Here is a 27,241-nt window from a genome sequence, read left to right on the forward strand (position 1 = left end):
ATTATGTAGAAATGGCACTCCTAGAAATTATGTATCAGATACTTGAGGGAATGGCTTCAGGCTACAAAAAGACTTACAAGATGAGAGTGTGGCTCAAGAGCCTACATTTGAGAATCACTCAAGAACTCAGGTGCCTCTTTACTGCCCTCCTCTCCCCAACCGTCCCTTCCTTGCCAGTTATAATTACCTATAAAGTCACTGGAGAGACTCAGTCTAAAAGCACAATGACCTGCCTGGGCACCTGCAGCTCACCAAACTCAGTTTTGGCCTCACTTCTATGACCAAGCTAGTGACCTGGTATGCAGGTCAGCATCTCAGCCTTCCTGCTAGTCCAGCTCTAATTGAACTCACTCAGAACAACTGGATTCTTGCTTACTCGTGAAGAACCAGCCTTATACCTCAGTTTCAGTAATTAGGGACCCATGCCTTTCTCTCCATATTTCATTTCCTGTCTTGGTATCCTGATCAATATTCTGTTTCCTCAGGCTTACACCTAGTACCTGTGCTTACTTCGTCTTTCTGGAGTCCTGTCCTGGGCCTGGGCCCAGTCCGTTTCTGAGCCCCAGACCTGACTCTCAGGACCAGGTCCTCTGTCTTTTGCTTCCTTCCAGACCTCCTGGCTCCTGGGCTCTGCTCACCAGGCCTCCCTGGATCTCCTTAACTCCAACTGTCTGTTTACCTGGACCTCTGCCCTCAGACACCTTGACCCCTCCAACTCCTCTTCCCCATTACTCCCTTATCTGAATGCCTGATCCCCTCTTATCATTAATTCTGAGACCTTTCTGAAGAGCGAGTCAAGCCCTGGTCCATTTGGTCTCTCTATTTAAGACTGAATAAGGCCTATCTCAGCCCTGGCTGAGCCTTGAGCCTGAAAATAATGAACATGAACTTCTAGTTCCTCAAAGGGCATAGTCAATCTTCCTAACAGTGTCAAAATGCTCTCAGTTAAGATAGCTGAAGTTGGTTGCCAAAAATAATCAGTGTCAAACACTTGTGCTTTCTTCAGCAGACCTATCTGCTTTACTTGGATGCTTTCACTTGGGCGAAACCAGAATATACTTTGCATTCTGGTGCCTCAAAAAAGAAATCTTTAAGATTTCTCAGGAAACTGGGCCCAAATAAAAAGAAAATGATGGGCCGGGCATGGTGACTCATGCCTGTAATCCCAGCACTTTGGGAGACCATGGCAGGTGGATCACCTGAGGTCAGGAGTTGGGAGACCAGCCTGGCCAACATGGTAAAACCCTGTCTCTACCAAAAATACAAAAATTAGCCGGGCATGGTGGTGTGCGCCTGTAATCCCAGCTACTTGGGAGGCTGAGGCAGAAGAATCACTTGAACCCAGGAGTCAGAGGTTGTGGGGAGTTGAGATCACACCAGCCTGGGCAACAGAGTGAGACTCCATTACACACACACACACACACACACGATGGCTACTAGAGTCAACCCAGGACTGGAAGTTATATAATCCTAGAATCCAATTTTTACCCATACTAGTCCTGGAATATCCCATAGGATTAAAGCCACATACCTAGAAGCATCAAGGAATGGTCTATAGGCCAAGCTGATCCATTCTTCTTTATTGGATGAATATTTTGGCTCCCGGGGTGTTTCTCTCATGGTGTCCAAATCCACTAAATAATGGCATTTACTGATATCAATCTGAAATGGAGAAAGGCCAACTCTTCATTAGTAATTTTGAAGGTCCCTTCAGGGTAGAGAACAGCAATTGCAATCCTAAAAATTTACAGAGCTTTGGAGGAACAAACATCCAAGTCTTCAGACAATGTTGCCTATGCTCTCTCCACTCAGATAAGAGTATTCAGGCTCTTGTGGGGGAGAGGCACACTCATTCAGCCATAGGTAAGCTTTGGCTGGTCTGATTCTAGGTTGAGTTCTTAAGTCCTTCTAGTCCCATAAACACTTCCAAAGCCACCATGAGCCCACAATCTCCCTCTGGAAAACCTATCTTCTTCTGCTCACTACTGCTCTCTTCCAGTCCATCACCTCTTATTCCACAGACTCAAAGGGCATGACTAAACACAGATGCTAATGTGTGAGAAGGCCTGCCTCTCCTCACAGCCATGGGAGGTTACGCTACACCTCACAGGGGTACAGAAATATCATGCATATCATCTCCTTCAAATATTCAATAGAATTTACAGAGACATTGGAACGGCTCCTGCAGCGAAAGTTTAGTAAAAGTGAGATATCAGAACTCTGCTTTTGTTAATACTATGTATTACATTAATATTGTATATTAACAAAAACAGAGTCAGCCAGTTGCTGATAACATGGATACATCAGAATATTGTAGATGCTCAAAGGAAAATATTAAAATATTTCATTTAAAACTATGCTGAGCCAGGTCCGGTGACTCTCGCCTGTAGTCCCAGCACTTTGGGAGGCCAAGGTGTACAGATCGTTTGAACCCAGGAGTTCAAGACTAGCCTGAGCAATATGGCGAAACCCCATCTCTTTAAAAAATACAAAAATTAGCTAGGTGTGGTGGCACATATCTGTAGTTCCAACTACTCAGGAGGCTGAGGTGGGAGGATCACTTGAGCCTCAGAGGTCAAGGCTGCAGTGAGCCAAGATCATGCCACTGCATTCCAGCCTGGGCAAAAGAGAGACCTGCTTCAAAAAAATATTTTTAAAACAATTAAAACCAAAAAAGAGTCCTCTTAGGTTGTTAGATGTCAGCTAAAATAAAGACTATTTGAAACATGTACAGATATGCAGCAAATATCACACTTGATGTTGTAGGACTAAAAGCTTTTCCTTTGGGATCCAGAATAAGTCAAGGCTGCTTGCTGTCACTACTCTGTTCAGCACTGTATTAGAGGATCTAGTCAGTAGGGTAAGACTAGAAAAAGAAACACAGGGCAGAAGAAACAGAAAGGAAGAAACAAAACTCATTCATCACAATGATATAATGGTCCAAAAGACTCTACAAATACATTTTGGAATTATTAAGACAGTTTAGCAAAATTTAGACTTACAGGATGTCAATCAATGTCATATGTTCCATAGCAATAAACAAAATGAAATTTTATAAAAATATAATTTACAAGCATTTGAAAATGTTTACCTTAGAATAAATATAATAAAAGATGAAAGTGCTCCATAAAAAAGTATAGAATCTTATTGGCTGGGCACGGTGGCTCACGCCTGTAATCCCAGCACTTTGGGAGGCCCAGGTGGACAGATCACCTGAGGTCAGGAGTTCAAGATCAGCCTGGCCAACATGGGGAAACCCCATCTCTACTAAAAATACAGAAATTAGCTGGGTGTGGTGGTACAGGCCTGTAATCCCAGCTACTTGGGAGGCTGAGGCAGGAGAATTGTTTGAACCTGGGAGGTGGAGGTTGCAGTGAGCCAAGATTACACCACTGCACTCCAGCCTGGGCAACAGAGTAAGACTCTGTCTCAAAAAAAAAAAAAAAAAAAGGATAGAATTTTATTGACAAATGCCCATCAACAGATAGATTCATGTGGTATATCCATACCATTAAAATGTGGTATATCCATACAATAGAACAGTACTCAGCCATAACAAGGAATGAAGGTCTGATACAGCCTATGCCACAGATAAACCTTAAAAATATTGCTGTGACTGAAAAAGGCCAGGCACCAAAGGCCACATATATACGATTCCATTTATATGAAATGTTCGTAATAGGCAAATCCTCCAAGACAGAAAACAGAGGTTACTATGAACTGGGGAGTGGCTGCTTAATGGATATTTAATGGGTATGGGTTTTTTTGGGGGGGAGGCATAATAAAAATCTTCTAAACTTGGATACTGGTGAGAGTTGTACATTATAAATGTACTAAAAGCCATTGAATTGTATGCTTTAAAATGATTAAAATTGTAAATTTTGTGTTGTGCATATTTTATAATTAAAAAACATTAAAATGGTGAATTTTATTTCAAATAATTTTTTTGATACACAATAAAGTAGACCTTATTAATGTAGTGATATATTTTATTCCTAGACAAAAACCTTACTATTATAAATATGTCAATTCTAAACAAATTGATTGATAAATTAAATATAATGTCAATCAAAATCCTAACAGACTTTTTTGAAACTCAACAAGCGGATTCTAAAATGTGTATGGAAAGGCAGAAAGACAAGAATAGCCAAGGCATTCTTAAAAAAGAAGAACAGGCTGGGCATGGTGGCTCACACCTGTAATCCTAGTACCTTGGGAGGCCAAAGTGGGAAGATAGCTTGAGGCCAAGAATTTGAGATAAGCCTAGGCAAGACAGTGAGACTCTGTTTCCACAAAAATTTAAAAATTAGCCGGGCATGGTGGTATGTACCAATAGTCCTAGCTACTCAGGAGATTGAGGCAGGAAAATTGCTTGAGCCCAGGAGGTCAAGACAGCAGTAAGCTATGATCATGCCACTGCATTCCAGCCTGGGTGACACAGCAAGACCTCATCACTAAAAAGAAAAACAACAACAACAAGGTGGGGGCTTAGTTACTGTAAAGCTATAGAAATTAATACAGTAGGCCATGTACAGTGGCTTACGCCTGTAATCCTAGCACTTTGGGAGGCCGAGGCAGGTGGATCGCCTGAGGTCAGGAGTTTGAGACCAGCCTGGCCAACATGGTGAAACCCCGTATCTACTAAAAATATAAAAATTAGCCAGGCATGGTGGTGGGCATCTGTAGTCCCAGCTACTCAGGAGGCTGAGGCAGGAAAATTCTTTGAACCCCGGAGGCAGTGGCTGCAGTGAGCCAAGATTGCACCACTGCACTCCAGCCTGGTGACAGAGCAAGACTCTGTCTCAAAAAAAAAAAAAAAAAAGAAATTAATACAGTGAGGAATAGATCAACAGACCAATGAAATAGAACAAAGAGCCTAGATCAGATGCAGGTACATGCAGACCCTTATTTACGACAGAAGCGACACCTCAAAGAAGCGACTGTCTTTTCACCAGCTGGTGTAGACAACTGGATATCCCTTAGGGGAAAAATGAAATTGAACTTTAACCTCACTCCACATGCAAAAATCAACTTTAGATGAATAGGCCTAAAAATGAAAAGATAAAGCTCTCGGAATATAATATAAAAGAATATCTTCAAGATCTTGGGTAAAAGAGTTTGTGGATAAAGCATTAATTATAAAAAAGAATGACGATACATTTGACTATATTAAAGTTTAGAATACCTTTTCACCAAAAGACACATTAAGGCCAGGAGCAGTGGCTCACGCCTGTAATCCCAGCACTTTTGGAGGCTGAGGTGGGAGGATCACTTGAGGCCAGGAGTTCAAGATCAGCCTGAGCAAAATAGTGAGATCCCATCTCTACAAAAAATAAAAAAATTAGCTGGGCATGGTGGTGCACACCTGTGGTCCTAACTACTTGGGAGGCTGGGGCAGGAAGACTGCTTGAGCCCAGGAGGTAGAGGTTGCAGTGAGTCAAAAAACATTAAGAATTAAAAAAACACAGAATGAGAGAAGATATATGTAATACATTTAACCATCAAGGATTCATATCTAGAATATATATAACTTCTGCTAATCAACAAGACAAAGACAAACCACCCAAAAGAAAAACGGGCAAGTGACTTAGGTACTTTATAAGAATAAACTGAAATGGCCACAACAAGTGAAAATGCGTTCAACCTCATTAGTAACCAGCAAATGCAAATGAAAACCACAATAAAAAAAATTACAGTATCAAGTGTTGGCCAGAATGTGGAACAACAATTATATATTACTAACAGGAAATTAAGTTGGTAAGAGTTCTTTAGAAAACTATTTGGCAAAATCTACTAAAATTGAACATATGTATTTCCTATGATCTAACAATTCTACCCCTAATTATTAGATTGAACCACATGAAATTATTATTTGATGTTTGAGCCACAAAAATGGTAATTCATATGGTTCAACCTAATGTATATCCAACAGAAATGCCTGCACCAAAAGAAAAGTTCAAGAATGTTCAAAGTGGTGTTATCTGTAGTAACCCAGATTGGAAACAAAAACACCCGTCAACAGTAAAATAATCAATAAATTGTGGTAAAGTCATACAATGAAATATTAATAAGAGAGAACAAACCACAGGCAATAACATGTGTGATTATTATAAACAAAATGTTGAGTGAAAAGATCAAGACACAAAAGGATAAATGCAGTGTGATTCAGGCAAAATGAACCTAAGTCATTTAGGGACACATGTAAAAGTCATAAATCTAAAGAGAAAAGCAAGAAAATCATTACCACAGGAGTCAGGAGACTCCCTCAGAACAGGGGTGTGGGTAGGTGATCAAAAGGAATTCTGGGGGAGCTCCTGGGTGCTGGCAATGTTCTATTATTTGACCTGGGTTACACAGACACTTGCTCTATTATTATTACTACTAATTTACTGTACAAATACTTTACACACATTTAGGCTTATAGATTATACATTACTAGAAGGTTTTTTAGAAGTGCATACAAAAACAAGTTGGTCATCTCTGGCTTACCGTGAACTCTGTTCTTCCCCAACCTCCACCTTACAGAAATGTTCTCATTCTCTCCCAGCATTATTTATATGTAAAAAAGACTTCAGTCTCACATCTGTCTCTACATATGGCCTATTCCTCCAGGGGAGAGAAAGCACACTGAGAATTGACGTCAGACCCAATTCCATTCCACATAACTCTCTAAAAATGATCCTTTGCATAAACACTTCAGGAAGTAGCCTTTTTGGTCTGAACACCCACTCTGTATCTCCCAAGGATTATAAGAACATGAAACAAGTTTTTAAAAGCTTTACAAGTGCCATGCCTCTGTAAGCAAACAGAACCAACAAGAGACAGAGACACTGAGGGTCTTATGCTTAGATTTCTTTTGGTTAGGGAGCCCTCAGTATGACATTTTAATACTTGACCTCAACGTGGCTTTTTCTGGCCAGGCACACTACAGGTCTGGTTATCTAGATTTGGTGTCGGGTACAAGGCCTACCAGGGATGTGGGTGGTAACTAATTAATATGCAACTGTATCAGTCAGATTAGGCTTCATTTATCATATCATCCCTAAGCAAATTCCATTTAAAGTAAAGGTCTTAGAAAGATATCAAGGCCCAATCTGAGCAACATAGTGACAGCTCGTCTCTACAAAAAAATTTTTTTTAAAAATTGGCTCAGTGTGGTGGCTCGCACTTGTAGTCCTAGCTACTTGGGAGTCTGAGGCGGGAGGATCGCTTGAGCCCAAGAGTTCGAGGCTACAGTGAGCTGATTGTGCCGCTGCACTCCAGCCCAGGAAACAGAGCAAGACCCTGTCTCTAAAACTAAAAAAAAGAAAGACACCGAAGCAAAATCATATTAATCAAGAGGATAATCCATTAGAAAAACTTTTAACCTCTTTTTCACCATCTCTGGGAAGCAGCTGATGAACAACTCAAACACACAAGGACAAAGGCCTCCAGCAGAAAATGATTAGGTATGATCAAGGGCAGGTTCTTCATTCAAGAACAACTAAGGTTATTAGAAAAGGAGTTCAAAGTCAGCCGGCCTAGATTCAGGCCTGGGTTCTACCACAGACTGGCTGAGTGACTCACAATCTTTTTTCTTATACCTCATTTTCTTCTTCTGATAATAAAGATAACATCACTTACCTCAAAGAGTTATAATGAGGATTAAATGAGATGATTCATTTAAATAAAACTGGTAAACTGTAAAGGACTATAAAAATAGCTGGAATATCAGAAGGAATCCTTGACCAGCTCTATGAAATGTGAGTATTTAGCTGGTAGAAACAATCCCTGGAATATTAGAGCCCATTAAAATAAATTATCCTTGTTTCAACCTAGGTTAGTGTCTATTATCAATTCAAGTTAAACCCAACATACAGGACAGAAGGATTACAATGTTAACCATTCACAGTCCCCAGTAAGCAATGAACTAGCAGTATCCACCAAATGATATCAAAATAAATCTTCTTGGTTTTAGGTTACATCTTCTTGCCTCTTCACAATTTAGTAGTTTTGATTAGTTGTTGGGCACTATGATTTTACACTTTTGAGTATTGAATTTGTTGAATGTATTTGAAGGGTGATACAATTTGTCCTGACAGGCAATAAAATTGCAGATCAAAAAGCAAAAAAGGAATCTTCTAGGCATCCTCAAAGCATTTATTAAGTATCTATTTGGTGAATCCTAGAGTATATAAAATTACATATAAGTCATAACATGTCCTTGTTCTTTTCTTTTGCTCACTGCAGCCTCAACCTCCTGGGTTCAAGTGATCTTCCCAAGTAGTTGGCACTACGGGCATGCGCCACCAGGCCTAGTTAATTTATTTTTATTTTTTGTAGAGACGGGGGTCTTGCTATGCTGCCTAGGCTGGTCTTGAACTTACGGCCTCAAGCAATCTTCCTACCTCAGCTTCCCAAAGTGCTAGGATAACAGGCATGAGCCACCATGTCCAGCTGGCCATTCTTTCTTTCTTTCTTTTGGAGACAGGGTCTCAATCTGTTGCCCAAGCTGGAGTGCAATGATGTGATCATAACTCACTGCAGCCTCAACCTCTCAAGCTCAAGTGATCTTCCCAGCTCAGCTTCCCAAGTAGCTGGGACCACAGGCATGTGCCACCATGCCTGGCTAATTTTTAAATTTTTTAAAATAGAGACAAGGTTTCACTAACTTTTCGAGGTCAGTCTTGAATTCCTGGTCTCCAGTGATTCCTCCCGCCTTGGCCTCCAAAAGTTCTGGGTTACAGGCATGAGCAACCACACCCAGCCCCAAGTCATTCTTAAACTTATAATTTAGGTAAGGAAATGACATTAGCATATATGAAATGCAGAAAGTGTTATTAAAAATTCAGAGTTCAGAGAGGATGAGATCACTGGAGGCTACAGTAGTTGAAAAGACTTCCTAAAGTTGGTAATAAAAGTTAAAGAGAAAACAGAGGGAAAAAGACATAAAGGAGCATGGTTGACAGGGGGAAGAGGAAGAATATCTACCTGTCCCAAAAGGTGTTTGTTGAGAAACAAAACGAGAGTGAGACAGTCTGAGGACTGATAATGGAGGATCCAAAGGAAGAGAATCTGGATTTTATGCATCAGGAATCTATTCTAGGTTTTTCAGCCAAGGAGTAAGATGATAAAAAACAGGGTCTTAGAAAGAGAGGCCTATACTAGCTATGCTGCGGAGGATGAGGCAAGAAAGTGTTGGAGGAAAAAGCTGAAGTAAGCACTCTAGTTACTACTGTAATATTCAGTTGTGAAGTGATAATGCCTTCTGATATTTCTTTCTTTCTAGACAGGGACTCACTCAGTCACCCGGGCTGGAGTGTAGTAGTGCAAATCACAACTCACTGCAGTCTGTGAGCCAAGATCACGCCACTGCACTCCAGGCTGGGAGACAGAGCGAGACTCTGACTCAAAAAAAAATAAAAAACAAAACTCACTGCAGTCTCGACCTCCCCAGGCTCAAGTGATCCTACTACCTCAGCCTCCTAAGTAGCTGGGACAACAGGTGCACACCACCACGCCTGGCTAATTTTTTTTGTATTTTGTAGAGTCAGGGTTTCACCATGTTGCCCAGGCTGGTCTCGAACTCCTGGGCTTAAGTGATCCACCTGCCTCTACATCACCTTCTGATATTTCTATGGCAGTGGGAATGAAGAAAGAAGAAAGGACAAATCTCACTTGTATTTCTTTTTTTTTTTTTTTTTTGAGACAGATTTTGCTCTGTCGCCCAGGCTGGAGTGCAGTGGTGCGGTCTCGGCTCACTGCAACCTCCACCTCGCAGGTTCAAGCGATTCTCCCCTGCCTCAGCCTCCTGAGTAGCTGGGATTACAGGGGCCCGCCACCACGGCTGGCTAATTTTTATATTTTTAATAGAGACGGGATTTCACCATGTTGATCAGGCTGGTCTCAAACTCCTGACCTCAGGTGATCCGCCCACTTCGGCCTCCCAAAGTGCTGGGATTTCAGGCGTGAGCCACCACACCTGGCCCTCACTTCTATTTCAAATGAAACCAGTGACACCAAGATTTCTAATTCAGTGAACTAAGGCTGCAGTAAAGAATAGGTTTGGGTGACATTGAGGAAAGATGATAACTTGTGTCTTACACCTAATGAGGTGGGAAGAAGCATGGGGTACTCAAGTACAGTCATGCGTCACTTAACGAGGGAGACAGGTTTTGAGAAATGTGTCTTAGATGATTTCATCATTATGTGAACATCATAGAGTGTATTTACACAGAGCTAGACAGTATAGCCTATGACACACCTAGGCTGTATGGTGTAGCCATAATAATCTTGTGGGACCACCATCAAACATGCAGTCTGCCCTAGATCAAAGTGTCACTGAGCAGCACACAACTGTAACTGAAAGAAGACCAATATGACTAAAATACTGAGTTAGAGAACTGTTTTCTGTTCCTACTCGTGGAACATTCCCTGTTGTCCCCTCATAAATTCCTACTCATCCTTCAGATTTCAGCTAAAAATGATTTCCTTAAGAAAGACTTCACTGACCTCTTAAACTAGGACAGGGCCTAAATTACATGCTCTTATAGCAACCAGTACTTCTCAAAACATTTTACAATTATATTCTATTAATTAATTGGGAAATTCATTGTAAGCTCCATAAAATCTGGGGCTGTGTCTATCTCATTCATTCTTCTATGCCAAAAACCTAGCACAGTACAAAACATACAGTAGGTCCTAAGTAAATGTCTACTTAACAAATACATGAAGAATGCATGAAAAAAAGGGAGAGGAAGTGAAGGAGGGAAGAAAAGGTAAAAGAGCAGAAGAGAGACAAAAAACAAACAGAGAGGGCCAAAGACCACAGATAAAGCTGAGAAGATGCCCGTAGCACTGGGCAGAAGAAAGAAGTGGAAGCAGCCAAGGATGAAGGGAACCAGAAGACAGGACATAGAAGAATCAAAGAAGTACACAGTTTTGAAAATCTGGGTGAAGAGTAGATTTCAAATGCTACAGAAACACTATGGGGATCTGAAGACTGAGAAAAGGCAACAGGAGGAATGGGTTCAATGGTTGTATCAAATAATTTTATCACAGTTTAGAATGCCATGTGGGGACAAGGAAAGAACTAATAGTCCAACCTCCTATTCTCAGTGACCTTCTCTGCTGTCTATCCAGCTGCCTGAGCCAAAGCCCCACAAGTCCTAAGACAGGAAGGATGTGAAGTTGCATTCAATCATCTATCAGCTGGAAATGACAATGACGCAAGTAGCTGTAAAAATAGAGATCTCTGGCAAGGGCCAACATGAGGTTCAGGGAACATCACAGAGAAACCATCTCCACACAGAAGACAGATCTTATTTCTCATATGTCACTGAAAATCCTCTGGTAAACAACTGTCATCATGAATCCTCTAAGAGTCCAAGGGGATAATGTGAAAGATCAATCTAAATCAACTGCCCTGTAAACTCCTAGGCAAGTGGGAGGATTAAAGCTGAAAAAACTGTTTAGACAGTTTGCCCACAGCTAAGTAAAATTTGGTCATAACTGAGACTATCCAGCAGCCACAATGGCTGACATATGTTATTAATTTAATACTTAGCTTTTAAGCAGCATTCAGAATGTCTTCCTTCCAAACACATAATAAATTCTGATTCATCACATCTCCTCAAATCCCTCTGTGAGCAACTGCAGCAAGGCCCAAGCCTTCTTATAGCTGAACCTTGTAAGCTCTGTGAAGGCAAGAACTGAATCTGTCTTTATAAGCACAATACACCTGGTGCCTGGTACAGTACCTGGCATATCTCAGGCAGTCAAAAAGTATTTGCGGAAGGAAAGAATGGTGACCAGCCACACCAGGATGCTGGACAACTTCCAACACCACGCTGTTCAAAACTATGACCAGCTTATTTGTAAGTGCCAAGAATTTCTTCCCTTAGCTTCTAGCCCCTGGAGGACAATCTATTTCCTCCATAATACCATACAATAAAGATCACATCATATCGTAATAAATCTACTAAACAAAATCAAGGTGCTGGTGTCTGGTAAGGGCCTTCTCACTGTGCCATCAAAATATATGACTCTATTCAGATCCATGACTGCATTCCTGCTATTGGGAAAGGGATTACAGAATCCAAAGGAAATAAACAGAAGAATCACACTTAAGAGCAACTGTCTTAGTCCAATCTGTGTTGCTATAACAGAATATCTGAGACAGGATAATTTATAAAGAAAAGAAATTTACTTCCTTACAGTTCTGGAGGCTGATGAGTACAAAATCAAGGTGCCGGCGCCTGGTAAGGGCCTTCTTACTGTGCCATCTCATGGCAGAAGGCAGCACATGGCAGAAGGGCAAAGACAGGGCAAGAGACAGCAAGAAGGGGATGAACTCATTGTTTTACAAGGCACTGACTCTCGAGATAAACCACTCCGGCAATAATGGCATTAATCTATTCATGAGGGCAGATGTCCCATGACCCAAACACCTTCCATTAGGTGCCACCTCCTAACACTGACAAATTGGGGATCAAGTTCCCAATACATGAACTTTGGGGGACACAAACCATAGCATTAACTCAAATTCCCAATTGGTATTTCTTGCCTTTCTCAATTCACAGACAAGATGTTAGAGATAATCAAGTCCAGTTCTGCAACCTTCCAGAACTTTCTGCATGTAAAGAAGTTCTAAGATGTTTTTTGACTCCATTTTAGCCACAACTTTTTTACTATAAAAAATACAAATGTAGGGCCAGGTATTGTGGCTCACACCTGTAATCCTTTGGGAAGCTAAGGTAGGAGGATCACTTAAGGCCAGGGTTCAAGACCAGCCTGGGAACATAGTGAGACCCTGTCTCCAAACACGCGCGCACACACACACACACACACACACACACAAGCCAGGTATGGTGGTGTGCACCTGTAATCCTCATTACTCGGGAGGCTGAGGTGGTAGGATTGCTTGATATCAGGAATTTGAAACTGCAGTGAGCTATGATTGCACAATTGCACTCCAGCCTGGGCAAGAGTGCGAGACCTTGTCTCTAAAAATAAAATTTTTTAAAAAGTAAAAAGAAATCCTATTGCATATGCTCTACATATTTGAAAATGGATTATCAGTATTTTTTTCCTATAAGGTCCTACTTTCATGCTCTGTATTTGTACAAGATCAAGTGGGCTTTTCCCCTTCTGCTCCACGGGAGGCTTCTGTCCTCCTTGAGCTCACCTTAACACACCTGCATTACTGTTTGACAGGTGTACTGCCCCAGTCAAACATCCTACTTGGCACTGTCCCCAGAGCAGCACCAAAAGCCAGAGCCCCTTGGAGATCATCCCCAACCCCTGGGGCCTCCTGCTTATTCTACATTTCTCATGTCTCTCTACCATGCCAGACTAGAGTCAAGCTCGACAGGGTCTTCTTTTCCCAATGACTCCGCCAAGCCCATTCCCTTGGCTGTAGTTTTGCTGAATCATAGGTAGGAACAGTGGGAATCTGTTCTTACAGAAATGGTCCACTCATGTGTGTCACTAATGAGATGACGAGGCATTTGGCTAAGAGTCATAGTGACTTCCGCTGTTTCCCCAGGCTTCTTTTTTTTTTTTGAGATAGAGTCTCGCTCTGTTGCCCAGGCTGGAGTACAGTGGCACGATCTCGGCTCACTGCAAGCTCCACCTCCCGGGTTCACGCCATTCTCCTGCCTCAGCCTCCTGAGTAGCTGGGACTACAGGCGCCTGTCACCACGCCCAGCTAATTTTTGTATTTTCAGTAGAGACGAGGTTTCACCGTGTTAGCCAGGATGGTCTCAATCTCCTGACCTTGTGATCCGCCTGCCTCGGCCTCCGAAAGTGCTGGGATTACAGGTGTGAGCCACCACGCCCGGCTACCCAGGCTTCTCTGAATTTCTTCACTTTGACATTCAGAGCACTGGGCAGAAATCACACTGCATTAATACCCACTTGAGGGACTTCGAGATAGATACAGGTTATATCAACAAGCACCCATAAAACAAACATTAGAAGTGGCTAATGCTCCAAAATGACAGCAATAGAAAAACAGACTATAATAATGCTCTGTGCTGGGCCCAGTGGCTCAAACCTGTAAACCTAGCACTTTGGGAGGCCAAGGTGGGCAGATTGCTTGAGCCCATGAGTTTGAGTCCAGCAATGGGCAGCAGGGTGAAACCCCTGTCTCTACAAAAAATACAAAAATTAGCCAGGCACGGTGGCACGTGCCTGTAGTTCCAGCTACTCGAGAGGCTGAGGCAGGAGGATCGCTTAAGCCTGGGAGGTCAAGGTTGCAGTGAGCTGTGTTCGCACCACTGCACTCTAGTCTGGGTGACAAAGCACAACTCAGTCTCAAAAAAAAAAAAAAAAAAAAAGGCCAGGTGCTGTGGCTCACACCTGTAATTGTAACACTTTGGGAGGCCAAGGTGGGCAGACTGCTTGAGCCTAGGAGTTTAAGACCAACCTGGGCAAAATAGTGAGACCTCGTCTCTACAAAAAATACAAAAATTTAGCTGGGTGTGGTGGTGTGCACCTGTAGTCCCAGCTACTCAGGAGGGCGAGGTGGGAGAATCACCTGAGTCCAGGAAGTTGAGACTGTAGTGAGCCATGATCATGCCACTGCACTCCAGCCTGGGTGACAATGCAACACCGTCTCAAAAAACAAAATAAACAAACAAAAAAAACAGGCCAGACACAGTGGCTCACGCCTGCAATCCCAGCACTTTGGGAGGCTGAGGTGGGCAGATCACCTGAGGTTGGGAGTTCAAGACCAGCCTGACCAACATGGAGAAACCTCGTCTCTACTAAAAATACAACAAATTAGCTGGGCACGGTGGCACATTCCTGTAATCCCAGCTACTCAGGAGGCTGAGGCGGGAGAATCGCTTGAACCCGGGAGGCGGAGATTGCAGTGAGCCGAGATCACACCATTGCCCTCCAGCCTGGGCAACAAAACTGAAACTCTGTCTCAAAAACAAAAATAAAAAAGAAGCTCTGTATTTTCTGCCTCCGACTAAGTGCTCTTTTTATTTAAATCTAGCTAATATTTTCATTTGCATCAGGAAATGGGACCGCTGAATATTCTGCCTCTAGCTCTGTGATTTAGGGAAGTAGCTTAACCTAGGCTCAGAGATTTTACCACCTTTCCAAAAGGTTTGGAGTGCAAACCACTAAGATCCCTCTCAACTCTAGAGAAAGCAATTCCTCAACTCTAGAGAAAGCAACTGTAGAGAAAGCAATTTCCTCACAATTGCAAATATACTCCCCTTTGCTGATTCTACTCTTCTCTAAACTACTGCTGCTCATCATTACATACATTTCCATATTAAAAGCCCTGTGCTGGAGGTAACAAATATACAGGATTTGCTTTTACACTGCCAAGTCTTGAGCAATTAGAAAGTCTATGTCTTGCTTTTAGTACTGAACACAGTTACATTTGTGACTGAACGTGTCACAAATGGCAAAGGCAAAATAAGATCATTCAATTCTCTCAATTTGTTGATGTCAAGGAGCTATTTAAAGCCAATGTTAAATATGGAAAGGTTACAGAAATTTTGTGGGCTTACATGCCTGAAAAATTCTGAATTTTTACAGTGCTTCTTCATCTCTAAGAGCTTTAGCAATATAAAAAGTCTGACTTGGGAAAAGGTCACATGTCTTATCTACAGAGCCTAGATCACCACACAGATCTATCCTGAAGTTAGGTGATGGTAAATAAAGAAAGCTCCAATGGTTGTTTCCCTTCCCACTGTTCACATTCCACATCACCAATCAATTGTGGCACTCTTCCACTGAGCTTGGATTCAATGTCATCATGCTCTTTCATCCCAGGCTCCAGTAAGCCACTACCAATTGATGAGAGGTGTTATGTGAATTGCAACTATTTGTCCCCCTTGTGAAATCAGTACATAAGGGTGAACACCCAGGATGGTGGTACTGCAACTCAGTGAAGCCCAACTGGATGATATCTCTTAGTTCTCAACAACATATCTCAAAATAAACAAACTACTTTATACAAAAATGCAGATTTAGAAATCTGAGAAATCATGGGAGATCGCTTGATTTCTTCTGTTTTACAATAACAAATTCTGGGTTTCTTTCATAAATCGGACTTTTAAAATATCAGTGTATATAAAATATTTTAAGAATGCATCTATGATACAGAATGAAATTCACTAGTATTTATGACTAAAGTCACTATCACTGCCACCATTAAGAAAGTCCTGTTAAGTACTAAATTAGGAAACAAAAGAAAAATCACACAAATTTTAGAGAATTTCTACTTTGGAGTTAAGTCGACATATATACAAATAGTCACCATTTTTGTCAAAATCTCCATTTTTTTCTTTACGGGTTGTATATTGTTATTACAGTTTAAAAGGGGACCAGAGGAAGACAAATACATGGATAGATATCTTCCCTTTAGGAGCTTCCAACTTATGATGGACAATATCAGATGTATAAACTTTGAGTGGCATTCAGCCAATAGAATAAAGCCATTATACCAAAGCGTAAGTAAAAAGTAATGGGAAGTTAATTTTCAATTATCCAGAGTTGGCAAAACATGCTTATAAAATCTTTTCCTACCGTAATTTCTGTGCTTAATCAGTTAGTTTGCATTATTATCAGTTCCTGCTATATACTTTACAATCTAAGAAGAGGGAATGTCTTTTTAAACGCAAACCTTTTCACAGTTATTTTCATCACCCATTCAGAAGAATATAAATTCAATAGATAAAGTTCTACCCAGGTTAATATTTGCATCAACCTATGAAATTTTATTAAGTTGCATGAGGAAGGCATGGCTCCCAGGCTTTGAATTAGTTTCCATAAATGACCCTGAACAGAGAATTCGGAAACATCTGTGTGAAATAGACCTATCATAGCTAAAAGAAAAGTATTCCATCTTCCTGCAACATATCAAACTTGACAGGAAACCAGTGAGGACACAAATCTGCCAAATACCAACCTCTGTCAATTTACATTAGAAACAAACGACAGGAGAAAGCTAGACATGATCCCTGTTCTCCAGGTGCTTGTAACCTGGTACTCTTACTGGACTACAAACAACCTTGAAAAATGGTAGTGCTTGAGTCCTAATTGGTCCAAATTTCTACTATTAACAAGGTTTGGGGAGGCCTCTCTTTAGCTCAAAAAGACTAAATGAAGGGCTATTTGAGTATTTCACTTAAATTTTTAAAAATCACCTGCTGTGTATAATCCCTATGCCAGGCATTGTGAAGGTTTGAAAGATTAATGACAAACATGAACCCTTGTCTTTAAACAAATGTAAAATTTGCCAGAGAACACCGTCACATACATAAATATGTGAGAACAATGAAACAGAGAAGAAATGAGAAATGCTCCTGCTCAATTAACTAAAATCTAGAAACCTCAAGCCATTTAATTTCCCCTAAATATTCAATGTTATTTCATACTTCAGGCCTTTGCAAAAGCTGTTCCTTCTGACTGGAATGTCAATTTCCCCTTCCTCAGCCAGAAAATTCTTAATCAGCCTCTAAGACTCAACTCCTATGCTACCTCTTATGTGAGGCTGAAGTACGAAGAGTTTTCTCACCTTCTCTATGCACATTATGGCACTCAGTACACTGTTTAATAACATTTTAAGTTTGTTTCTTCTACTAGACTCTGAGGGCAAGATTTATGTCCTTTTCTAAATTCACCTTTAGGTTTATCAAAATAATATATACAGCCGGGCGCGGTGGCTCACACCTGTAATCCCAGCACTTTGGGAGGCCAAGGTGGGCGGATCACCAGGAAACACCTGACCTGAGGTCAGGAGTTTGAGACCAGCCTAACCAACATGGAGAAACGCCATCTCTACTAAAAATACACAACTAGCCAGGCATGGCGGCGCATGCCTTCATGAAATCCCAGCTACTCAGGAAGCTGAGACAGGAGAATCACTTGAACCCAGGAGGCAGAGGTTGCGGTGAGCCGAGATCGCACCACTGCACTCCAGCCTGGGCAACAAGAGCAAAACTCCGTCTCAATAATAATAATAATAATAATAATAATAATAATATGCGGCCAGGTGCAGTGGCACATGCCTGTAATCCCAACACTTTGGGAGGTCAAGGTGGGAGGATCACTTCAGTCTAGGAGTTTGAGACCAGCCTGGGCAACATTGCCAGACCCTGTCTCTACAAAAAAATAAAAAATTAGCTGGGTATGGTGGTGCAGGTCCATAGTCCCAGCTACTTGAGAGGCTGAGGTGGGAGGATTGTTTGAGTCAGGGAGGTCGAGGCTGCAGTGAGCTGTGACTGTACCACTGCACTCAGCCTGGATGACAAAATAAACAATATATCCAGAGTTTAAAAAAAAAAAACAAAAAAAAACTTAGTACAAGAAGCTTATTATGAAAAACAGCAGTACCCTCCTGATTCCCCAGTCCAACTTCCCAGAGACAACCACTCAACTCTTCCAGCTTTTTCTCCTGGTAGGTTTTTTTATTTTTTTCAGACAGAGTCTCACTCTGTCTCCCAGAATGGAGTGCAGTGGCACTATCTTGGGTTCAAACAATCCTCACCTCTCCTGGTAGCTTTTGATTTTTCAATTATCAAATAGTAACATACACTAACTTCTTTTGGTACTTGATATATCTTGGTATGGATCTTTCCTCATTCATCATTTCAGGGACGCTCTGCAGGCTCTTGCAATCTGAAAACTGATATCCTTCAGTTCTGGGGATAGTCTCACATGATTCCTTTGGCAATCTCCTCTCCTCCGTCTCATCTGTTTTCTCTTTCTGGATCTCCTATTAGCTAAATTCTGGATTCTGATTTTATTGTTCTTTTTCTATTTTCTATCTCTTTGTTTTTGATTTGTTTTGTATTATTATAGTCTGGAAGATTTCTTCAAACTTATCCTCTAATCATTCTACTGACTTTAAAAATCTCCTTTATTTTTAATTTCTAGCAGCTCTTATTTCCTGATTGTTCTCTTTTAAAAGCACAAATAATATGAAGAGCATATGTTTTTGTTTTATGAACCCCAAATTTTTAATCTATCAGGAAATATTTCTGCTTCCTACATTGTTTCTGTTTCTTTCAATTCCTTCTTTTCCCCATAATTCTGCCTTTTTTTCTTATAAGGGACTTTTCTTAAATGACAGGAGATTGGTGGGCACAGTGGCTCACACCTGTAATCCCAGCACTCTGGAAGGCTGAGGTGGGCGGAGCAACTGAGGTCGGGAGTTTGAGACCAGCATGACCAACATGGAGAAATCCTGTCTCTACTAAAAATACAAAATTAGCCAGGCGGGGTGGCGCATGCCTGTAATCCCAGCTCCTTGGAAGGCTGAGGCAGGAGAATCACTTGAACCCGGTAGTGGGAGGTTGCAGTGGGTCGAGATGGGCAATAAGAGTGAAAGTCTCAAAAGAAGGAGATTATGCTTTCTGTCACCTATTTTCAGCACATAGAGACAATAAAAAGTTGGATGAATGGCTGAATCAACCAACGAATGAAAAGAGTAAGAAACACTTAACAGTGATTAAGAACAAAAAAGATGCCCAGGCACAGTGGCTCACGCCTATAATCCCAGCACTTTGGGAGGCCAAGGCAGGTGGATCACATGAGGTCAGGAGTTCGAGACCAGGCTGGCCAACATGGTGAAACCCTGTCTCTACTAAAAATACAAAAAATTAGCCAGGCATGGTGGCACACACCTGTAATCCCAGCTACTCGGTAGCTGAGGCACAAAAATCCCTTGAACCAGGGAGGTGGAGGTTGCAGTGAGCTGAGATTATGCCACTGCACTCTGGCCTGGGTGACAGAGAGAGACTCTGTCTCCAAAAAAAAAAAAAAAAGGTGCCTAAAGATAAGAGATGAGTCCGGACGTGGTGGCTCACGTTTGTAATCCCAGCACTTTGGGAGGCCAAGGCTGGCAGATTGCCTGACGTCAGGCGTTTGAGACCAGTCTGGCTAACATGGTGAAACCCTGTCTCTACTAAAAATACAAAAAAATTGGCCAGGCATGGTGGTGTGCACCTGTAACCCCAGCTAGCCACTCAGGAGGCTGAGGAAGGGGAATTGCTTGAACCAGACAGATGGAGGTTGCAGTGAGCCAAGATTGCGCCACTGCACTCCAGCCTGGGTGACAGAGCAAGACTCCATCAAAAAAAAAGGAGATGAACATGGTTGTGCTGATAATATTTATACATCATTGTCTTCTTGAGCCAGTGATTCAAAACTGTTGGAATTACACCGCCAATGGATAGTCTTGAGCATGATTACGGGACAGACAAGGCTTTCTGTCCAAACCCCAACAACCAGAAAATTAACTTTATTTAAATTTGTATTTAATTCCTTAACTCACTTCTGCCTGGAAGAGTTTAATAACGTACTTGCCTTGTGCACTGCGGCATCCTCTTTAGTCCTAGGTTTCTAACAAAAAGCGTTCCTTGGAGCTTGTAAATTGGTAAACCACATCTATTTTTTTGAAGTAATCAAGATATAATTTGTGGAAAGAGTAGCAAAGATAGTATTAAATATGACTAAAATGACTTAAGAAGAGGCCTGAAGGCAAAGAGGGAAAAATTACTTGATAGAACACTTATCTTCCAATTTTGAGTTGAAAGTCCTTATGTTCAAGGAAGAGAAACTCGAGGTCAACTGAAAACACACTGAATGTTGCTCAAGTCCACCACAGATCTTCTTGGTAGGGGTATCAAAGATTTCACAGTGACAGCCCCCATTACAGTTATTTTTTTTCCATGATGAAATTAAAACATTATTTATTACAAAAAACATCTTACAAAATCACTTACAGTCCTCCGACCCAAAGAAAATCACCATCAGCCTATTAGTGTATATCCCAGAACTTCTCTGCAGATATTGATTTTTCTTTACAAGATCTGGATCATGTTATATATATTGTTTTACTGTGACTATTTTTAGCTTGAGAGTCCTCAGTTTATATCCCTGAAAACACCAACTGTCTACTGCCCCATAGGTCTAAAAGCTAAAGTAACATGACTTGAATTACAACCAGAGAGAATAAATTTATTCTCTCAATTTTATAAATATCTCACACTGCAAAATCTGAGATCATAACCACATCATCTACAATTCAAAAATCAAAAGACTGGATTTAAATCTGCCTTAAAGTATAACCAAAGAGCCCATTTTTTTTGTTTCTTCAGATTTAATCATTCTTTCTTGCATCAAAAATAACAAAATTGTAGGGTGACATTAACACATGATCATGAAACAAAAATGTGTTTCATTTCATTAGTCACAGGCTACATATCAACCAGCTGTCGAAGCTAAAAATATGCCTTAATTTAAAATTTTGTAAAACACAAGCATTTAAGACTCATTTTGAAAGAAATGTGACTTCTTTCTGTTTCAACCCACTAGAAGCTTTAGAGAAGAACAAATAAGCACCTCTAAACCAAAAGAGAAAAAGGTAATAGCGGGGGAATTCAAGCCAATTTATCCATCATCAATATCACATTGTTTACATCTTATAAACAAGCATATGTTAAGGATAACAATTTAATACCACTCCAGATGTAAACAAAACTACACATTCTCAAAGGAAATAGAAGGCCTGAAACAGAGGTTGAGATCCCAATAATAAAAGATGTGTATTTTGTCGGGGGAAGAGTGAGCTAAGGAGAGCTGGGTAGTAATAAATATTGTCACAGCTTTTCCTCATCAGCTGTAACAGAAACTTTGTCAGGGTTGCAGTCTTCAGTGACATCATCTCAACTCTCAAACACCAGCATCACACTCTTGGAGCGGGACACAGCACAGAGTAAGCCTCTAACAGTACTCATCTCTTCCAGGACAGAAGCAGCATGTAGACTTCCATCTCTGGTCATGAGGGCCCCGGCTCAGGACACATGTCTCAAGATAAACTGTGCTGCCATAAAATATTTGACAGGAAAATAGGTAATGGGATAAGCTAAAATATAAACACTCCAGTTGGATTTCAGGTGTAGTTTCAGCAAATTGGAAAGGGAAGCAAAGAAATGTCAATGGTCTTAGAAATTCCCAGTCATTTAAAAGGAAAATACATTTCACTTGATTCCAGAAAAGAATCAGACTCTCCTAACTTCCAGTCAATGCTCTTGCCACTATCAAATAGCCAATCATCAATATCCTCCCATGATATTTCCTTTATTGAAATAAGAACATGGAGGCCTGGGAGGAAACATCTGAAAGGGAAAAATTTCAAGTATTTTTCTGTCTTTTCATTTCCTCTTTTAGATATGCTCCAGTTAAATTTTAAAAAGTAGTTGTCCTCCAGAGCCACAGACTGTCTTAGTTTTTTGTCTCTCATATAGCCTTGCTAAATACATATTTGTTGATTGAATCTTTAAACTCACAAGAAAAAATTCATTGCACTGTAAAAATCTAAACTCACAGGTAAAAATTTTTGTTCATTCAATCATTATAGATCATGGAAACATCAATTAATTTCTAAATGCCAACATAATGAATACTAAAAAAATTAACTTTAGAGAAGTATTTTGAACATTCTCCAATTAAATTCTTAGTAGACTCTAATCTAATTGCACTGTATATATTACAGCAATTTGAATCTGCTTGCCTTGATACCCGAGACTGATAACAATTAGTGAGGAAACAAATAGGGCAAGTTATTTTTTCCTCCAATAAGGACTTCCAAAAAGGGCAGGAGAAGGGATAAAATGAGAGAGAAAGGAAGAAAAAGAGAAGAAAGGAAAGCATGTCGGGGGAAATCCTGATCATTTTTATTTATTGTTAAACATAATATTTACTACTTAAAGTAAGTACCTGTCATATATAAACTAGAAATGGAAAGTAATTTTTTAAAAAAGTAATGAGTTGGGCACAGTGGCTCACACCTGTAATCCCGCCACTTTGGGAGGTCAAGGCAGAAGGATCACTTGAAGCCTGGAGTTCGAGACCAGCCTGGGCAAGACAGTGAGGCCCTCTCTCCACAAAAAATTTAAAAATTAGCTAGGGGTAGTGGCTAATTTAAATTTTTTTTTTTAAACAGAGTCTCGCTCCGTCACCGAGGCTGGAGTGCAGTGGCGCCATCTCGGCTGACTGCAACCTCCGCCTCCTGGGTTCAAGTGATTCTCCTGCCTCAGCCTCCTAAGTAGCTGGTATTACAGGTGCACATCATCATGCCTGGCTAATTTTTGTATTTTTAGTAGAGACGGGGTTTCACCATGTTGGCCAAGCTGATCTTGAACTCCTGACCTCAGGTGATCCTCCCACCTCGGCCTCCCAAAGTGCTGAGATTGCAGGTGTGAGCCACCATGCCAGCCTAATTCTCCATAGAGACAGGGTCTTTACAGCACCTGTAGTCTCAGCTACTCAGGAGGCTGAGGTGGGAAGATCGATTGAGCCCAGGAGTTCGAGGCTATAGTGAGCTATGATGATGACACTGCACTCCAGCCTGGGTGACAGAGTGAGACCCTGCCTCTGAAAAACAAAACAAAACAAACAAACAGAAAGCAATGCTCAGCTACTTAATGTCTATTTGGCCTTGTAACATCAAAGAATGATTAGCTATCACACAAAAACAAGAAAGAGGTGGTATGAAAATAATATTGAAGAATCCTGAAACCAAGCCTTTTATCCTAGGGCTAATCTTTATCAAGTTATAATCTCTCTAGATCTCAGTTCTTTCATCCATAAAATAAAAAGATCACAGACTACATTTTAAGTTCCCTTCTAAATCTATGATTCTTTTTACTGGTTAAACTGGAAAAGCAGGGATAAAGAAGAATGAAATAAAGAATATTTTGAACTGATATACAGTCAATTCTGTTCTAATACTAGTTTCAAAAATGCAAATTTTTTCCAACAAAGGGATATATTAGGGAACACTTTGAGCGTAATTTAATTTTTGCATTTGATTATGTCATTTAATTCACAGGAAACACTAGGTGAATGCAGAAAAGTACACTCAGTGGAACCAATCAGCATAGGAATACACATAGTGTATACATACACAAATATATCTACTGGCCTTCTCAGTTCACTGTGTTATAAGCCACATCCACCCATTCACCTTTGCTATTATAACTTTTGTAAGATTTCAGATAATCCTTTTACTACTACAAGCTGCAATCCTTCCAATACCAGGCCACAAGCAAACTTCAAGTCTTCTGCAAAGTAAACAGCCACATTTATTGTAGTATTTATGCACTTTTAACCATTTAACATATGTAAAATCATGCTACCATTTTTAATCTTTTTTTAATTTTTATTTTTTCAGAGAGAGGGTCCTGCTATGTTGTCCAGGCTGGAGTGTAGTGGCATGACTGTAGCTCACTGTAGCCTCAAACTCCTGGGCTCAAGCAGTCCTCTCACCTCAGCCTTTGAGTAGTTAGGACTACAGGCATGAGCCACCATACCTGGCTAATTTATTTTTTTTTTATTGTAGAGACTGAATCTCGCTATGTTGTCTCAAACTCCTAGCCTCAAGCTATCCTCCTGCCTCAGCCTCCCAAAGTGCTAGAATTATAGGCATGAGCCATCATGCATGGCTAATTTTTAATCTCTTTTTTAACTGACAAAGTTTTTTAAGTATTGTGTCCCTAACTCCGTTTTCCCAATAAGCTTTGTGGTTTTTACCACATATTAATTTTTCATAACTTTATATCTTATTGTAGCAGAACTGACTATATTACTGCTTAGGAAAAAAATCAATGACCAATCTATGTTTTCAAAGATAACAGATGGAGGACAGGCATGGTGGCTCATGTCTATAATCCCAGAGCTTTGAGAGGGCAAGATGGGAGGATTGCTTGAGACCACCCTGGGCAACACAGCAAGACTCTGTTTCTAGAAAAAATAAAACTATTAACTGTGCATGGTGATGCATGCCTGTAGTCCTAGCTACTCAGGAGCTTGAAGTGGAAGGATCACTTGAACCCAGGAATTTGAGGTTACAGTGAGCTATGATGGCACCACTGCACTCCAGCCTGGGTGACAGAGCAAGATCCAGTCTCTTAAAAAAGAAAGAAAACAGGAAAACTTCCAGCAAGTCTGCTTAAGCATTAAATTAAAGTCAGAAAAAAGTCTTTTTCTGTAAGCTCTCTCCTGAAGAGCTGTTTTTTCCTCCAAGGTTTCATCCATTGACTAGGTAGCTCCTAAATCATATACTAGATTTGGAGCTGGAAGTGTATCATTCACCTTGAAATAGTGAACAAAAATGTGAATTTTTCAAGAACTAAAGAGGTGACACTGAATGTATCTTCCAAATTTAGATCTTGATTCTGGCAGAAAATCTTGGCAATCTTGGCATGTACCCCTGTAAATGCTTCCTGTTCAATAATGAGATATTCAATAGCTACTCAATACCTACCATGAAAAAATATGCAGCAAAAACATTATTTTTGCAATATAGTTATAATGGTACAGTACAAACCACAGAACCTTTACACTTATTCACTCCTAATTCTTGATTAGCCCAGAGGTAAAGAAAATAGTGAAATAAAAAAAGTCATACAACTTTCCTCGTTTCCATGCACAATAGAAACGGGACAGGCTGGAGCACTTAGCATTGAAGCCAAAGGCTGGCTAAAACCTGCCACCCAGAGCTAAAGGTCCATGCCTAATTTTCATGATTCTGCCACCACAGATAAGCAAAAAAATCCTCGCATTCAAAGGGCTGGACACAGCTGCTACCCAGCAGACATAAATCACTTGTTTTTCCCTGCTTTTATCAGCCAGCATTTTGGTGACTCCTACTGGCATCCTGAAAAATCATCACCTTTCGGGTAAAGCTCATATAGAGTCATTTAATCAAATTTAACACTGTCTGACAGCAGAGAATATGGAAATATGATCTAACTAAGACAACCAGTGATAAAAGCCTAAGAAATGTGCAAAAGGCCACTGTAGATTTTCTAGCCAGCTTTCTCTCAACATCATTACCACAATGACGATGAATATTCATTATCCACTGAGAAAGCATGTAAAAGTGAACTACTGGGTACATGACACCGTCCTAGACACTATGGTGAACACAAAAGAAACAAAGTGCAGTCATTCTCTTCATGGCATTCACATATTTGATGTGGAAAGATATGATATCAGAAATATTTAACTAAGACCAAGAAAATTAAATGGCTAAATGAACTGCACAGATAAATACTGAAGACACTTAAAGGAAGGTCTGCTCAATATGGACTTAAATAGTTCACTTCAAAGAGGAAGATAATTTTGATAGTGTGAGAAGAGACACAAGGGTAGTTCAGGCATAGTCACCAATATAAGCGAAGTCACTGGGGTGGAAAACGCAATGATGAGTCTGGAGACACTGGAATAAAATTACAAGGATGGGAAACAATAAAAAGAAGGAAGGGGAGAGATTGGGTTTCTTTACCTGGAATCTGTCTAATATACCATTATCAGATTAAGAACACTTGTGCAAGCATAAGAACATTGCATTTTTGCTACAGAGAGATATAATATCAAATATCATAATTCCAAAGTAGGTGCCATTTTACAGACAGAAACTGAAATTAAACAGAGAAGCTAACTAATTTGCCCAAGGTTATCAAGTTTAGCAACAGAGCTGAGGTTTGAATGCAGGCCTACTCAACTCCAAAGTCCACGCTCTTTTTTTTACTACTCCATTTTTACTACCTCTTCCTAAAGCAAAGCTCCGATAACATCACTCTGAATTCATACTGTCCCCCTATGACAGTGTATTTTCCCACCCTTTGACTGTCCAGCTTCTCTAGAATGATGCCCTGCACTCAGGAGACTCATATCTGCAGATAAAATTAAAATGACCTGTAACAGTCTACCCTGCCCAAGGGTATTTCCATTGTAACAGGAATCAGAGCCTTAAATTAAAAGAATAAAGCTCTAATACAATCCATGTGGCAGAAACGCCTGTCTTACAAGGGAACAGCTCAAGGCTGTGTCTTTAAGTGTCCATTTTCATAGCTTATAGTTACAGCTCATACAATAAGAATCTCACTCATAAACCCTGAGGGTCTCCATGGAACTCTAACCAGCCCCAATCTGGGAGACAAAAGACCAGATGTGGCTGCAGGTTTGCTTCAGAAGAGAATTGGAAGTCTTGCTATTTTACATTTTAAGCATATGACATAAGAAAATGTAAATTAAATATAGCTGACATTTAAACTGTTACATATTTCTTTAACGGACAGGTTATCAGGTTATCAAAAAATGTGCTTTCTAATAATTCTAGACAACGATCTTACACTGTCTTTGTGACCCAAAAGGAGCATTATCTTTATTACTTCTTACCTTTTTCATTATCAAAGATTTCACAGGTATCAAATGTCAAAAGTGT

At 40.5% G+C, this 27,241-nt stretch overlaps 1 protein-coding gene across 30 annotated transcripts in view, besides 3 other annotated features; it reads right to left on the reverse strand.

Moving 5' to 3' along the window:
- The window catches only part of ALG9 (ALG9 alpha-1,2-mannosyltransferase), a 103,557-nt gene that overhangs the window by 40,087 nt on the left and 36,229 nt on the right, over positions 1–27,241 (reverse strand). For all 30 annotated transcript variants that reach the window (XR_001747968.3, XR_001747967.3, XR_007062503.1 and 27 more), the window contains one exon: positions 1,532–1,662. Coding sequence is in view for 23 of the 30 variants with exons in the window: in NM_001352409.1 (NP_001339338.1) it covers positions 1,532–1,662 (131 nt within the window). In the remaining 7 variants the exon portion in view is untranslated. The remainder of the gene's footprint in view (positions 1–1,531; positions 1,663–27,241) is intronic.
- Positions 6,556–7,755: an enhancer, noted in NCBI's record as "CDK7 strongly-dependent group 2 enhancer chr11:111685391-111686590 (GRCh37/hg19 assembly coordinates)". NCBI's record gives its function as "activates an origin of replication core promoter dependent on BRD2, BRD4, P300/CBP, MED14 and CDK7 cofactors, with strong dependence on CDK7, by STARR-seq in HCT116 cells {active_cell/tissue: HCT116}" and the evidence as "EXISTENCE:reporter gene assay evidence [ECO:0000049][PMID:35650434]".
- Positions 21,153–21,272: an enhancer, noted in NCBI's record as "active region_5520". NCBI's record gives its function as "activates an Ori minimal core promoter by ATAC-STARR-seq in GM12878 lymphoblastoid cells {active_cell/tissue: GM12878}" and the evidence as "EXISTENCE:reporter gene assay evidence [ECO:0000049][PMID:35858748]".
- Positions 21,591–21,730: an enhancer, noted in NCBI's record as "active region_5521". NCBI's record gives its function as "activates an Ori minimal core promoter by ATAC-STARR-seq in GM12878 lymphoblastoid cells {active_cell/tissue: GM12878}" and the evidence as "EXISTENCE:reporter gene assay evidence [ECO:0000049][PMID:35858748]".

Source organism: Homo sapiens, chromosome 11 (assembly GCF_000001405.40).
Source record: "Homo sapiens chromosome 11, GRCh38.p14 Primary Assembly".
Taxonomy (NCBI): Eukaryota; Metazoa; Chordata; class Mammalia; order Primates; family Hominidae; genus Homo; species Homo sapiens.